Source organism: Homo sapiens, chromosome 6 (genome assembly GCF_000001405.40).
Source record: "Homo sapiens chromosome 6, GRCh38.p14 Primary Assembly".
NCBI lineage: Eukaryota > Metazoa > Chordata > Mammalia > Primates > Hominidae > Homo > Homo sapiens.
In genome coordinates, this window is record NC_000006.12 from 116,688,345 (window position 1) to 116,703,180 (window position 14,836).

Below are 14,836 nucleotides of genomic sequence, written 5' to 3' on the forward strand. Positions count from 1 at the left end.
AACATTGTCTCTGGTTGGACATGGATATGTCCTCTGAATTTAACAGAATAACATACTGGGTACTCACTATCTACTGTTAAACTGAAGTTGGCACCCTGCTTTAGGCAGATTTTGTGTGTGTGTGATGTGTAAGTCCAGAATAGGTTATAATATCAGTATTTTAATATTCCTATAAGATAATATCAAGATATCAATACTGTTACATTGTTAAAGTTTATAATTCACTTTCTAAAAGTAAAACTAGCACATATATTCAAATATGAAATATATTTGCATATATTTTATGTATTTATAAAATAGGTATATAAATGTTAATGTTTTAAAATACATTTGCAATAAAACTACTTAAAAATAAAGTATACATGTATTTTAGTATTTCAAAAGAACTAATTATACTGGAGTACTAAAAACTGATATTGTAGTCATAATTCAAGTCCTGACCCTTGTGGCCATAGCTCTTAAGGCAATGCCTTCAGTAAGTGAAAGAAGCCAGACCCCAATAAATATTTGAGATGTGCTTACTGGAGCCTAATATCATATTTCATTAAAAATAAGATACTTCAAAGCTGGTTATTTCTTGATCTAGCCAGAAACTGTAATTTAGAAGACTTTTTTTTTAACCCAAATAATTCATGATTATTTCCTGACAGTAATTATGTTTCAGAAAGGTTAAAACACTGTGGGGGCTAGGGAGACAGGAAAGGTTGTTGCATCTTAGAATCAATAAGATAGGGTAAACTTTGTCTTTGTTTAGACCAAAATTATTTGTTTAAGATATTATTTCTAAAATATGTGGTCATTTTGCTCTAATCTTGATGTGGAATTAAGGGAATGTATTCTTTGTACATAATTTTCAGAATGGGTTTTGTTGACCTGTTAATCAGTGAGCCTGAATTTAGTTGCTAGATTAAGTGTCTCATGTTGTTTTGAGAGAGTGAGTTATCAGTGTCTGTTTTCTTTTCTCCTTCCTTTAAGATGCCATGGCTAGTCCAGGGAAAGATAACTATAGAATGAAAAGTTATAAGAATAAAGCCCTAAATCCTCAAGAGATGCGTAGACGAAGAGAAGAAGAAGGAATACAGCTTAGAAAACAAAAAAGAGAAGAACAGGTAGGTGTTTTTAGCTATTTAATTTTGTTTTTTAAAATTTTAATTATTTGCTAATTATTGGATAATTTTAAATGGAAATGTTTTAAGAAATTGAATATAGCTAAATCTATTATTTATTAGACTCCAGGCATCATAATTGCAAATTTGTGAAACAGAACTCTGTGCTACTTTAGTCACTGGGAGAAATGGATTTTCTGTTTTATTGATAAACCTGTTGTGTTAATTATATTTTTACCCTACTGCTAGGAAATTTTTCCTCTTGCATCTATTTAGATCACTTCCATTTGTCATTGTAAAATTTGCCCCTTAAAGAAACATTAATTATATATTATTTGCTGCTTTGTAGTTTTCATAATTCTTGCCCGTAAGTAAATTATTGTCATCTTCCCATGCTATTCATACTGTTCCCCCATTGTCTTATTAGCTGGATCTCTGTTTATACTTTTCATATGTGACATAAAGAATATAAAATTGTTTAAGAGAGTACATCTCAACATTTTTTATTCCAAGATGTACTTAAATGTAGAAGTATTTGTAAGTAAGTAAAATAATGTGGTTCTCACACATGTGAATTAAAACTGATGTATGAAAAGGACTAGCAGTGAAGAAAGTAGAAAAGGCCTATTCTCTTCTATTGTATTCTATTCTATTGTATTCTGTAAGTAGAGATGGGGTCCTGCTATGTTGCCCAGGCTGGTATTGAACTCCTCGCCTCAAGCAATATTCCTGCCTCTGTCTCTCAAAGTGCTAGGATTACAGGCATGTAATAGGCAAGGCCTATTTCAGAAATATGATAATGATTTCTCATCTCCCTATCTACAGCGTCTAACACAATCCTTCATACATTATAGTAGGTACTAAAAAAATTGTGTTGAATAAATGATTAGAAGGAAGATTGTTTACATATTAAAGAAGAACAGGCTGGGAGCCCTGGCTCACCCCTTTAATCCCAGCACTTTGGGAGGCTGAGGCGGGCGGATCACGAGGTCAGGAGATTGAGACCATCCTGGCTAACAAGGTGAAACCCCATCTCAAAAAAATTAGACATGCGTGGTGGCTGGCGCCTGTTGTCCCAGCTACTCAGGAGGCTGAGGCAGGAGAATGGCGTGAATTCGGGAGGCAGAGTTTGCAGTGAGCCGAGTTGATGCCACTGCACTCCAGCCTGGGCGACAGAGTAAGACTCCATCTCAAAAAAAAAAAAAAAAAGAAGAACGATATTTATTTAGATGTCAAAAAGAATATAAGCAGATTTTGTTTTCCTCAAATTTTGATTTAGGAAATGTAGAGTTATCCCTTGGTTCCAGGATCCTCTGCAGATATCAAAATTCACTGATGCTCAGGTCCTTTATGTAAAATGGCATGGTATTTGCATATTACCTGCACACATCCTCTTGTATATTTTGAGTCATCTCCAGATTACTTATAATATCTAATACAGTGTAAATGCTGTGTAGTTGAGTTGTTATACTGTGTTGTTTTAAAATATGTATTATTGTCGGGCTCAGTGGCTTATGCCTATAATCCCAGCACTTTGGGAGGCCTAGGTGGGCGGGTCACCTGAGGTCAGGAGTTTGAGACCAGCCTGACCAACATGGTGAAACCCCGTCTCTACTAAAAATAAAAAAATTAGCCGAGCATGGTGGCGCACGCCTATAATCCCAGCTACTCAGGAGGTTTAGGCAGGAGGATCGCTTGAACCCAGGAGGTGGAGGTTGCAGTGAGCCGAGATTGTGCCACTGCACTCTGTCCTGGAGACAGAGCGAGACTCCGTCTCAAAAAATAAAATAAAGTGAAATAAAATATGTATTATTTTTTATTTTCGTATTTTGTTGTTGTTGTTTATTTTTAAGAGATGGGGTCTTGCTGTGTTGCCCAGGTTGCCCTCCAATTCCTGGGCTTGTGCAGCCCTCCCACCTCAGCTTCTCAAGTAGCTGAGACCAGAGGCACGTGCTGCCATGCTTGGCTTCTTATTTTTTATTGTTATTATTATTTTTGATCTGAGGTTGGTTGAATCTGGGAATGTGGAACTCACAGATATGGAGGGCCAACTGTACCTATAAATCTCCTTTAGTGAACTCACCATGTTTCTTTCTTCTTTTTTTCTGCTTCATTTTTATCTGCTCCTGAATTAATAAGCATAGTACTGTCATTCCTAAGATTTGTTTTCTATTCCTTGTTAATCAGATATACTAAATCTGTTAATGTATCAGATGTTATCTTTCATATGCAACAGATGTGCTTTTTAAGTTTTCTTGCAAAAATTCTTAGATACCTCATAATCCAGTGTGTAAATATGTGCTTTTTTAAGTGCTATAAAATGACCATGTGTATTCCACTTACACGCTTACTGTTGGTAAAAGATCTGAGATTGAAAGTGACGTGAAGTAGTCTGTGCAGCCAAAAGCTAGCCCAGAAATTTGACTTCTCATAAATACCTTAGATCTTCCTAGTATAATGATTGGGAAATACTCAAATATTCAGAATTTTAAGTTATAAAATTGATAGGTTTCTTTTGTCCACTCAAATGAAAACATGGAATTCTATGGCAACTTAATGTTTTATGGAAAGCTCAATGTGTAAACTGATTTCTCTTTATTACAGTTGTTCAAACGCAGAAATGTCTATTTGCCCAGAAATGATGAATCTATGCTTGAAAGTCCTATACAGGATCCAGATATTAGTTCCACTGTACCCATTCCAGAGGTATACTTTACCAAAATATGTTTCAAATTATACCTCAATAATTTTAGCAATAGTATGTATAACAAATATTTATGCATGCAAAATTATTCATGTAAAATATGTAAATGTTAATTATATTTTTGTGTGTGTGTTTTAGGAAGAAGTTGTTACTACAGATATGGTTCAGATGATTTTTTCTAATAATGCTGATCAACAGCTAACAGCAACACAGAAATTTAGAAAGCTGCTTTCTAAAGGCAAGAATTATTTTCAGTATGCTTATTTGATATTACACGATTTTTTAGTAGAGGTTTATTTTATTGTTTTTTTTTAAATTTTAAAATACCTTTCTTTGCTAGACACAGGTGTTATATTCTCTGCAAAATATATTGTAAAGTAACATCCGTTTTTGAACATGATGTTACCAAAGTAACATATGTTGACTGTAGAAAAATCGTAAAAATATAAAAGCAGTTAAAGAGGCAAATATAAAAAGATTAATCCTGCTGCCAAGAAATAAGGTTAGAGATATATATTTTTTAATTCTTGTAGAAATATTTTTCAGACATGATTTTTTATTTTTATTTGTATTTATTTATTTTTTATTTTTTTGTTATACTTTAAGTTTTAGGGTACATGTGCACAACGTGCAGGTTTATTACATATGTATACGTGTGCCATGTTGGTGTGCTGCACCCATTAACTCGTCATTTAACATTAGTTATATCTCCTAATGCTATCCCTCCTCCCTCCTCCCACCCCACAACAGGCCCCGGTGTGTCATGTTCCCCTTCCTGTGTCCATGTGTTCTCATTGTTCAATTCCCACCTATGAGTGAGAACATGCGGTGTTTGGTTTTTTGTCCTTGCAATAATTTTCTGAGAATGATGGTTTCCAGCTTCATCCATGTCCCTACAAAGGACATGAACTCATCCTTTTTTATGGCTGCATAGTGTTCCATGGTGTATATGTGCCACATTTTCTTAATCCAGTCTATCATTGTTGGACATTTGGGTTGGCTCCAAGTCTTTGCTATTGTGAATAGTGCCGCAATGAACATACGTGTGCATGTGTCTTTACAGCAGCATGATTTATAATCCTTTGGGTATATACCCAGTAATAGGATGGCTGGGTCAAATGGTATTTCTAGTTCTAGATCCCTGAGGAATCACCACACTGACTTCCACCATGGTTGAACTAGTTTACAGTCCCACCAACAGTGTAAAAGTGTTCCTATTTCTCCACATCCTCTCCAGCACCTGTTGTTTCCTAACTTTTTAATGATCGCCATTCTAACTGGCGTGAGATGGTATCTCATTGTGGTTTTGATTTGCATTTCTCTGATGGTCAGTGATGATGAGCATTTTTTTATGTGTCTTTTGGCTGCATGAATGTCTTCTTTTGGGAAGTGTCTGTTCATATCCTTCGCCCACTTGTTGATGGGGTTGTTTGTTTTTTTCTTGTAAATTTGTTTGAGTTCTTTGTAGATTCTGGATATTAGTCCTTTGTCAGATGAGTAGATTGCAAAAATTTTCTCCCATTTTGTAGGTTGCCTGTTCACTCTGATGGTCGTTTCTTTTGCTGTGCAGAAGCTCTTTAGTTTAATTAGATCCCATTTGTCAATTTTGGCTTTTGTTGCCATTGCTTTTGGTGTTTTAGACATGAAGTCCTTGCCCATGCCTATGTCCTGAATGGTATTGCCTAGGTTTTCTTCTAGGGTTTTTATGGTTTTAGGTCTAACATGTAAGTCTTTAATCCATCTTGAATTAATTTTTGTATAAGGTGTAAGGAAGGGATCCAGTTTCAGCTTTCTACATATGGCTAGCCAGTTTTCCCAGCACCATTTATTAAATAGGGAATCCTTTCCCCATTTCTTGTTTTTGTCAGGTTTGTCAAAGATCAGATAGTTGTAGATACGTGGCATTATTTCTGAGGGCTCTGTTCTGTTCCATTGGTCTATATCTCTGTTTTGGTACCAGTACCATGCTGTTTTAGTTACTGTAACCTTGTGTTATAGTTTGAAATCAGGTAGCATGATGCCTCCAGTTTTGTTCTTTTTGCTTAGGATTATCTTGGCAATGCGGGCTCTTTTTTGGTTCCATATGAACTTTAAAGTAGTTTTTTCCAATTCTGTGAAGAAAGTCATTAATAGCTTGATGGGGATGGCATTGAATCTAAAAATTATCTTGGGCAGTATAGCCATTTTCATGATATTGATTCTTCCTACCCATAAGCATGGAATGTTCTTCCATTTGTTTGTATCCTCTTTTATTTCATTGAGCAGTGGTTTGTAGTTCTCCTTGAAGAGGTCCTTCACATCCCTTGTAAGTTGGATTCCTAGGTATTTTATTCTCTTTGAAGCAATTGTGAATGGGAGTTCACTCATGATTTGGCTCTCTGTTTGTCTGTTATTGGTGTATAAGAATGCTTGTGATTTTTGCACATTGATTTTGTATCCTGAGAGTTTGCTGAATTTGCTTATCAGCTTAAGGAGATTTTGGGCTGAGACGATGGGGTTTTCTAGATATACAATCAGACATGATTTTTTAAATGGTATCATATCATAGAGTGTGAGCATAAAATAATGTAATCAGGCATTTAAAATCACAAAATAATGTAATCAGGCATTTAAATTTTTCTCAATTTTAGATTACCATAAAAATGCTACAATAATTGTTAAGCAATATAAATTTCCTTAATATATATTCATAAAAGTGAAGTAGGGGGTCAAAGGGAATACACTGTATTAATTTATGCTCCCATCTTCAGTTTGTACAAGCATTCATTTTACTATTTTTATGAACATTCACAATTCTCTTTTTCTTTTTTTTTGAGACAACATCTCACTCCCGTCACCCAGACTGGAGTGCAATAGCAGAATCACAGCTCACTATAGCCTCTGCTTTCCAGGCTCAGGTGATTCTCCTACTTCAGCTTCCTGAGTAGCTAGGACGACAGGCATGCATCACCACGCCCAGCTAATTTTTAGTAGAGTCAGGGTTTTGTCATATTGCCCAGGCTGGTCTCAAACTCTCCTCCCACGTTTGCCTGCCAAAGTTCTGTGATTACAGGTGTGAGCCACCATGCTTGGCCTCGCAGTTATCTTTAAGAAAAAAATAAATGCTTATATAATAGTAATTCATTATTTGGCTTTTTTTTTGTAATTAGGTTGAATATTTTGCCTTATTTATTGGTTCTTTATAGTACATAATTGCCTATTTGTGTTATTTGACCAATTTTATATTGAGTTAATAAGAATTCATTTAAATAAAAATTTAAATCTTTGTCTTGTGTTTCATATATGGAATTTATTGAACTCGTAATTCTAATTTTATGGGATTGTATATATGAATGGGTAAGGTTTTGAAAACGCCCTTAGCTCAACTGCCTTATTGTCCTAAGGGAGACAGAGTTTAGTGACACATGAAGAATGAAAGTAATCTTGTGATCAGGTCAGCATAGATTACAAGGCTTTCACTTTTGCTTTCTTACTGTAATTTATATTCATAAATAAATTTAACTTTCATTTTCTGTTCCTCACATACCTTAGCAATGTCAAGAAACCTTTTTGCAATCAAGAATGGCTTCTTTCTTCCTCACAATACTTCACAGTTTTGGTTTTTATAATTGGGATTATTTTCTGAGTCAGATTAATATTTTTAAATTGTTTTTTAAGTATATTCCTTAAAGATTTTATTTTGACATACATGTCATACTGATAACAGAATTTCTTTAGATTTAAGAGTTTTAGAGTTTGCCACCAGTGTTTTTGTACCATTTCCTCATTATTGAATTCTTTATCTTGATTCATTTTTTATTAGAGCATTGCTTGAAGAATTTTCTACCCCTTTCTTACCCCCATTCTAGGAAAATTGCATTGGTACAATTTTTTTAAGCCTTTATATGTCTAAATACTATATTTCTGATATCTTTGAGCAAGTTGTCTGGGTATCGAATTCTTTGATCAGAAGACTTTGTCCTCATTTACTCTAATTCCTCAAGGTATTCTGTTTCCGTTAAACTGTACTATCTTTCACAGAGACAATTGTGTTCTCTGTTTCTTCTTTGTAATGGAATTATGCTTGCCCAGTTGGACATACAGCAAGGAGTTAATAGATGTTTTCTTTCACTGATTGATGTGAGTTCCTGCCACATCTATCAGGCCTAGAAAAATAATAGATTTACTGTATTTTTATTTGATCTGTCAAAGTAGGAAATATGGGAAAGCAAGCATCTAGAGGCCAGAACTGGAAGCAGAAACAACAGGAAACTTTGCCTCTTTTGCAGGCATTTCTTTATTGTAATTAGTGTTCTTACTGTAGACACTAGGAAGATATGAATATGCCCTGGGTACTGCACAGCCTATCTTAGCTCCAGCTTTTACTCCTCTGACTTAAGTCTGCGACGGTGACCTTTTGTTACATCTTCTATTTATTTCCTTTTCGTGGCCACTCTTGTGGATGTAAATCACAAACCATCCTTTTCTTCAATCCCAGTTTTGTAGAAAGTTCTCCAAAGCTTTTTTCTTTTGCCTGACTCTTGCTTAGTTTTCAGTGCTGAAGGAGATATTCCCCCTATACTACTTATTGCCATAATGACTAAAAGTCTTCTCGGTAGCAGTTTATCACCATTATAAGATTATGTAGACTATCATCCTGTCAATATAATACTAATAGTAGTTCATGATACCTGTTAGATAAGCTGACAATCCAAGTGCACTTTAATTGCTTTCTTTTAGATGAAGATAAATATAAATGTGTTGCTTTTAATTCACCGGGAAGAAACTATATTTGGGTTCTTATGTGTGTGTGTGGGGGGGTATATATCATATCATATCTATATTTAATATATATAGCTGACATTCTCAATGACCACCTCGCCCTACCTACCAACCACAAAACCCTATATTTTCTTCCTTCTCTCTCATCTCTTTCATAAAGAGCAAGACAAAATTTCTGTACATTAAATTTAAAACAAAATAGGATAATATATTTATGATTTGCTTTGGAAATAAAGGAAAAACAAGAAAGTGCAGGTGATAATTGCAACCCTATAATTTTGTTTTGATTTTTTTAAGATGGAAGGTAAAATGATTAAGAATACTTACTGTTTTATCCTGTTGATGTTTTATAACAGTATAAGTTAGGGTCTGGAATTCAGTTTTCCATCTTGAAGAATTGGGGCTTTTCATTTAGAACACCCAAACAAAACTTGATGGGTATAACTTTACTAACTGCAGAAATTTTCTAAATTTTGTCCAAGTTAGAAGAATAGCAAATTTGTAGAAAAATGAAAAGGAAGAAGGAAGTCTGTTTCTAAGTAAATCTTTCTTAACAATTGAGAACAAGGTTTCTAGGATTTGAGCTGACTTAAAACTTAATGAAAACATTTTTCTATATCAAAAAGAATGATTTGTACAGGTGTTTTATGTCCACCATTTGCTTATTCATCCTACTCATCAAACACAGTATGTTAACATTAATATATGAGTTCTTTATGATCAGTAACACAGTCAAATAGAGGAAGTAAGAAGAAAAGGAAGAATCAGAAGTGGAAATGAGTATGCTCTTTTTCATGACTACATGAATAGATAACATAGTAATATACAATTTAGGTGGTGGATGCAGGGCAAGGGAAGGAATAACCATGATGATATAATGAGTTTGATTTTGGGTATGCTGCATTTTGAAAGAAGTGTGAAAATACATTTTAAAAGGTGTTAAAATAAAAATGCATCTTATAGTCACTTAGGAATATGGTCTGAAATCTAGGAAAGGAGAATTCGGTTAAGGTTGTAAGGTCTGTGAATTATCACAAATAGTAATAATATCTGGTACTTGCATTAACAAAAATAGGTACATTTTCTAAGATGAGAATAAACAGGAATAAGACTATCCCAAAAGAACACCAATAGGGAAGTTACTGAAGAACCGTAGAGGGTACGTTTTGCTGAAGCCAAGGTAGAGGAAAGAGTTCTTTATACTTAGATGACCAGTACCTGAAATGTCTTTGTCTGGATTTTATATAAGCTTCCTAGATATTTTATGATTCTCAAAAGCTGTCTGCATTTCATGAAAATTTATCAGTAATTGTAGACAGTCCGTTAACATTTCTGTAAAAAATAATTCACGGACAAAAAAGAATCTTGTTTGACAGACATTAGGTAAATTGTGGTTGATAATGAAGGAGATATGCTTAGAAATTGAGGGTAGTACTATAAAGAATTAGTGGAAACTTAATTCCTCAGTTGGTATTTTGAGTTTTAGACAGAAATAATCAATGTTTTAAAGGTGTGCTCAATAGCCTTCAATTTATGAAATTTAAATGTTTATGTAGGAAATATTTTTAAAATTTCTTGCAGTGAATGAGAAAGCGGAATTTGCAAAATGTACAAAAAACATTGTAATCTGGAGAAAATTTGACTTCAATTACATCTAGCTAAGGGTTTTAATCTTGGGTCAGGGAAACCTAGGAAAGAGTTATTTTATGTGCCCTGTTAATGGACACAGGGACTAGATTGTTTTCTTTTTGTGTCTTTGTAATAACTGAAGTCTTTTTAAATTTTTAGAACCTAATCCACCAATAGATCAAGTTATACAGAAACCAGGAGTTGTACAGAGATTTGTGAAATTTCTTGAAAGAAATGAAAATTGCACTTTACAAGTGAGTCTAAAGTTTTCTTTCTTAATTTTTCTCTAGAAATGACATGTTAAAGTTTCTAGTGAAAGCAACTTCTGCAGTATTGACTATTGTAAGCATTAAGTGAATACTTGGTAATTAAAGGAAAAGGTAGTGCTGCCTATCTTGTCTTGGACACGGTTTCAGTGCTAGTTTTTTTCTAGGAATTGTTATTTTATTAAGCAATTTTGGAAAAAGTATATAAAATCATTACTAATGTTAATAAACAATTTATAGTTGTTAACCTTTAGTAACTTTTTTGTTTTAGAAAACTTCAGACTAAAATATTGTTAAATTTATTTTGATTCTTAGCTAGCCAGGGTTCTAACTTTTACCTTTTAAAACACTGTTAGCTGACTGATTAGTTCTTTTTTTCAAAACAGAATAAATTATTATTTAGTATTATCTAGTAGAAATGTGACCAGAGGTAAGTTTGTCATAAAGAACATTGGTTCTCAACCATGATATAGTTACAATTTTAAGATGTCTTCCAAATAATTTGCTACTAATGGAAATTTACTGAAGTTTGTGAATATTTTAATGTTAAAAAAAGATTGGTTTTCCCTACATTCATTGCTATGCATATTCTTAAGTCAGAGTACAGGTTGGAATTTTATCTATGTATCAGGAATTGCACAAGACATACACCTAACTTATAAATGCTATTGTCAATAATGGAGGACTGTTACTTGTTACGTGTTGAATTTATAACTTAAGAGTAGTGGTCTACTTAGCTGAATAATTTGAGAAAGATCCTCACGTTTTAGGTGTAAGTAAAGGAATGTATTGCATGTGTGAATGTGAAAAATTGTTGAGAATGTTTACAATAAGGGTCTCTAAGAGGCTACTTTAGTCATGTTACAGTTTTATTGTCAATTATTTTGAACTAGAGATCATGAAATCTGGTTCCATTCCTTTATATAAGCCCTAAGTCCAGACTAAAACCCAGACCTCTTGATACCTATTATTTGGCTTTTTAATTCCAATTGAATGAAAGAAGAAATGATTGAATGTGAATAAATAAAATTATTGAGAGCTAGTTTGAGCAAAGCATCATGTAAGATATTGTAGTTCCAAAATTCAGATGTTGTCCTGTCTAGAGAAATTCCTCACTTTCTCCTGGGAAAGACAGACATAAAAAAGATCTGTGGTAACATCATATCCTTAGTGCTCTAACAGAGCTATAAACAAAGTACTCTGGGGACACAGAACATAGCAACTTACTCTGTTTAGGGGAAGTTTAAGTTTAAGACTTCACAAAGGTAGTGTTGCAGGACTAGTCTTGAGGATGAAGGAGCGTTTGGCAGACTGAAAAGAGGAAAATTAATGCTAGGTTTAGAGGATAGCGTGTGTAGACAGCACAGTGTGGGAAGATTTGCTGGGCGTGGTGACTCACACCTGTAATCCCAGCACTTTGGGAAGCTGAAGAGGGAGGACCTCTTGAACCCAGGCGTTTGAGACCAGCCTGGGAAAATAGTGAGACCTCATCTCTACAAAAAAATAAAAATTAGCTGAGTGTGGTGGCATGCACCTGTAGTCTCATCTACTTGGGAGGCTGAAGTGAGAGTATAACTTGAGCCCAGACGTTTGAAGTTATAGTGAGCTGTGATCACACCACTGCACTCCAGCCTGGGCCCTGTCTCTAAATAAATAAACAAACAAACAAACAAACACACACACACTGAGAAGTTGAGCATTTATTAATCACTGTAATTAAAAACTATAGAAATTCAACAGTATGGTCTTGGGACAGCTACATGTTGTGCCATGTTACCCAAGTGCTTGTGAAATATGTTAGTTAATATGATTGGTCCATCTAACAGGCCTTAAATTGGGGGCCTACAAACAAGTTTTGTTGGCCTGAACATGTTTTAAAGCGTGAATTAGATATTACATGTTAAAAAATTGGGGGATTTCAAATGAATATCCAGGTTTTTGGCTCCTTTTAACAAATCAGAGGTGTTGGCACTGTTGTCAGATAGTTAAAAATGAAAGGAGGTTGAATAGGCATTCTGTCTCTATTTTCTTTTTTCAACTGGAAAGTTTACCTTTTTTTTAAAATTGTAGCCACACACTCTAGGTTTTCACAGTTGTCACTTGCTTATCACTCGTTTTATGTTTAATTGGTTGCTGGCAGGCTTCTGACTTTACCAGTCTTCACTAAGGCTTTCTTCTAGGGATACTAGTGACAAGTTTGTAGAGTAACCTTTCAGTTGTCCACTAGCTTATTTCATTATCTACAATTGGTTAGAACTATGGTCTCCATTATTTTTAAATATAAATTCCCTTTAAAATTTTTCTTAGTCCTACACGTAAAAGTAACTGTACTTTTTAATATTTCAGTAATGCTTTTGGGTACATTTTTTGTTACTTATAATGACGTGTACGTTTACGTGAAAAGTTATTTATGTGAAATATTAAAAAAATTTTTTTCATGGTTAATTTTATATGTCAAATATGTGAAATATTTTTTAAACTATATTCACTGCTTAGTTTGCCTGTGGATTTGTAGGTTGTTTTCAGTAATTCACTAGTTCATTGTTTTGGAGCCATGGTTGAATTTTCTCAGTTGCTTTTATTTTAAATCCATAATGTATATGTATATTCAGATTTTAATTGAGTTGATACGATAACTTCTCAGAGACTCTGCAGCTTAAAAAAAATATCAGAAGTCCCAGCACTGGCTCTGTTAATAATGAAAGCTTGATGTTGAACAAATACCTAATCTCTCAACTTCTAATTTTTTTGTTTCTTAAATAGTAGGTTGAGGTTACATGATCTGTAGAGAAATAAGTACCTCTTATGATTCTAAGTGTCCTAAATATACTGTTGTTATAAGTAGTGTCTCTTATTTATTTTTAAACTGCTTGCTTTAGAATGCTTGCCTCTGTAATAATAAACAGGAGTTTTATGCATTATAAATTCAAAGGTGTTTATATATTGTTGATTTTGTATATTTTCATTATATTTTTCTCAGTTCTTATTTTTCCATATTAAAGAATACTTTTCTGTAATCAGTGATCTTTGATGACAATTACTTTTTTTTCTATGAGTTTTTATCCTTAAATCTGACTTCACAATGAATCTTAATATAAGTCAGTCTTTCACACTTGTCCTGGCAGGTCTTTACTCCCTCTCTTTCCTTCTTTGCCTTTCTGACAATTCTTTGGTTCTTTCATTTATTTTACCTTTTTTTTCTTCTTAGTTTGAAGCTGCATGGGCATTAACAAATATAGCATCTGGAACTTTTCTGCATACCAAGGTAGTGATTGAAACTGGGGCTGTTCCGATTTTTATCAAACTTCTTAATTCTGAACATGAAGATGTTCAGGAACAGGTACGTCTCTAATTTGTATTGTTGTATGTACTAGAATTCAGTTTTCTCTTGAAAGTACCATTTGTAATTACGATGTGTAATTCATTTTTGTTTCTAATTGCTGTATATTGCATTAAATTGTAGTAGTGTTTTGGTGTTAAGTTAGAAGGGAGGAAGAATGAACAGTTCCAGACATAATCCTGGGTTCTCTGTGAGTGTGATCACAGCTAGCATAGGAATTACTATTCCTGTTTATAAAAGTGCATACTGAGGCTGGGCATGGTGGCTCATGCCTGTATTCTCAGCACTTGGGAAAGCTGAGGCAAGCAGATCACTTGAGGCCAGGAGTTTGAGACCAGCCTGGCCAACATGGCAAAATCCCAGCTCTGCTAAAAATACAAAAATTAGCCAGGCGTGGTGCCACAGCTCCTCAAGAAGCTGAGGCACAAGAATTCCTTGAGCCTGGGAGGCAGAGGTTGCAGAGAGCCGAGATCATGCCACTGCACTCCAGCCTGGGCGACAGAGCGAGATTTGTTTCAAAAAAAAAGTGTATACTGAGACTCAAAAGTTAGTAACTTACCTAAAGTCACAACGAATGGCAGAGCCGGGTTTTAAAGCTGAACTGGTTTGACTTCTTGTTCTCTGCATATATGTAGATTATTTTGTTGTTTGTTTTAAGAATATCACATTACTTTGAATAGAACCATTTTTTAATAAACTTAATGAATAAAGTTTTGTTGTAAGAGGTAAAATTTAATTACATATAATTGTACCATCTAAATAAAATCAAGTCATTTAACATTTTTTTGCATCATTTTTATGTACATAAATCTGTTGTTCTGTCTCCCATTTTATTCATCATTTCATTTTATATATATTTTTTCAGTTAACACTAATATTGGGAGCCTTTTTTTATGGCAGTAATTATTCTTCCATGGAAATTTTACTGATTACTCAATATCTGCTCAGATATGTACCATAATTTGCCATCTGTTCAATTGTTGTACATTTGGATTATTTCTAGCTTATTGGTGGTGTTAATAATATTGTG

General features: G+C 34.0%; 1 protein-coding gene across 9 annotated transcripts in view; it reads left to right on the forward strand.

The window, feature by feature from the left end:
• KPNA5 (karyopherin subunit alpha 5) overlaps positions 1 to 14,836 on the forward strand; it is a 60,657-nt gene that overhangs the window by 7,134 nt on the left and 38,687 nt on the right. For 8 of the 9 annotated variants that reach the window (NM_001366307.2, NM_001366305.2, NM_001366304.1 and 5 more), the window contains 5 exons: positions 976 to 1,109; positions 3,711 to 3,812; positions 3,949 to 4,048; positions 10,360 to 10,454; positions 13,675 to 13,806. In NM_001366307.2, coding sequence (NP_001353236.1) covers positions 981 to 1,109; positions 3,711 to 3,812; positions 3,949 to 4,048; positions 10,360 to 10,454; positions 13,675 to 13,806 — 558 coding nt within the window. In that variant the 5' untranslated portion in view covers positions 976 to 980. Of the gene's footprint in view, positions 1 to 975; positions 1,110 to 3,710; positions 3,813 to 3,948; positions 4,049 to 10,359; positions 10,455 to 13,674; positions 13,807 to 14,836 lie in introns of those variants that run through there. The other variant, XM_047418752.1, reaches the window with a different exon arrangement.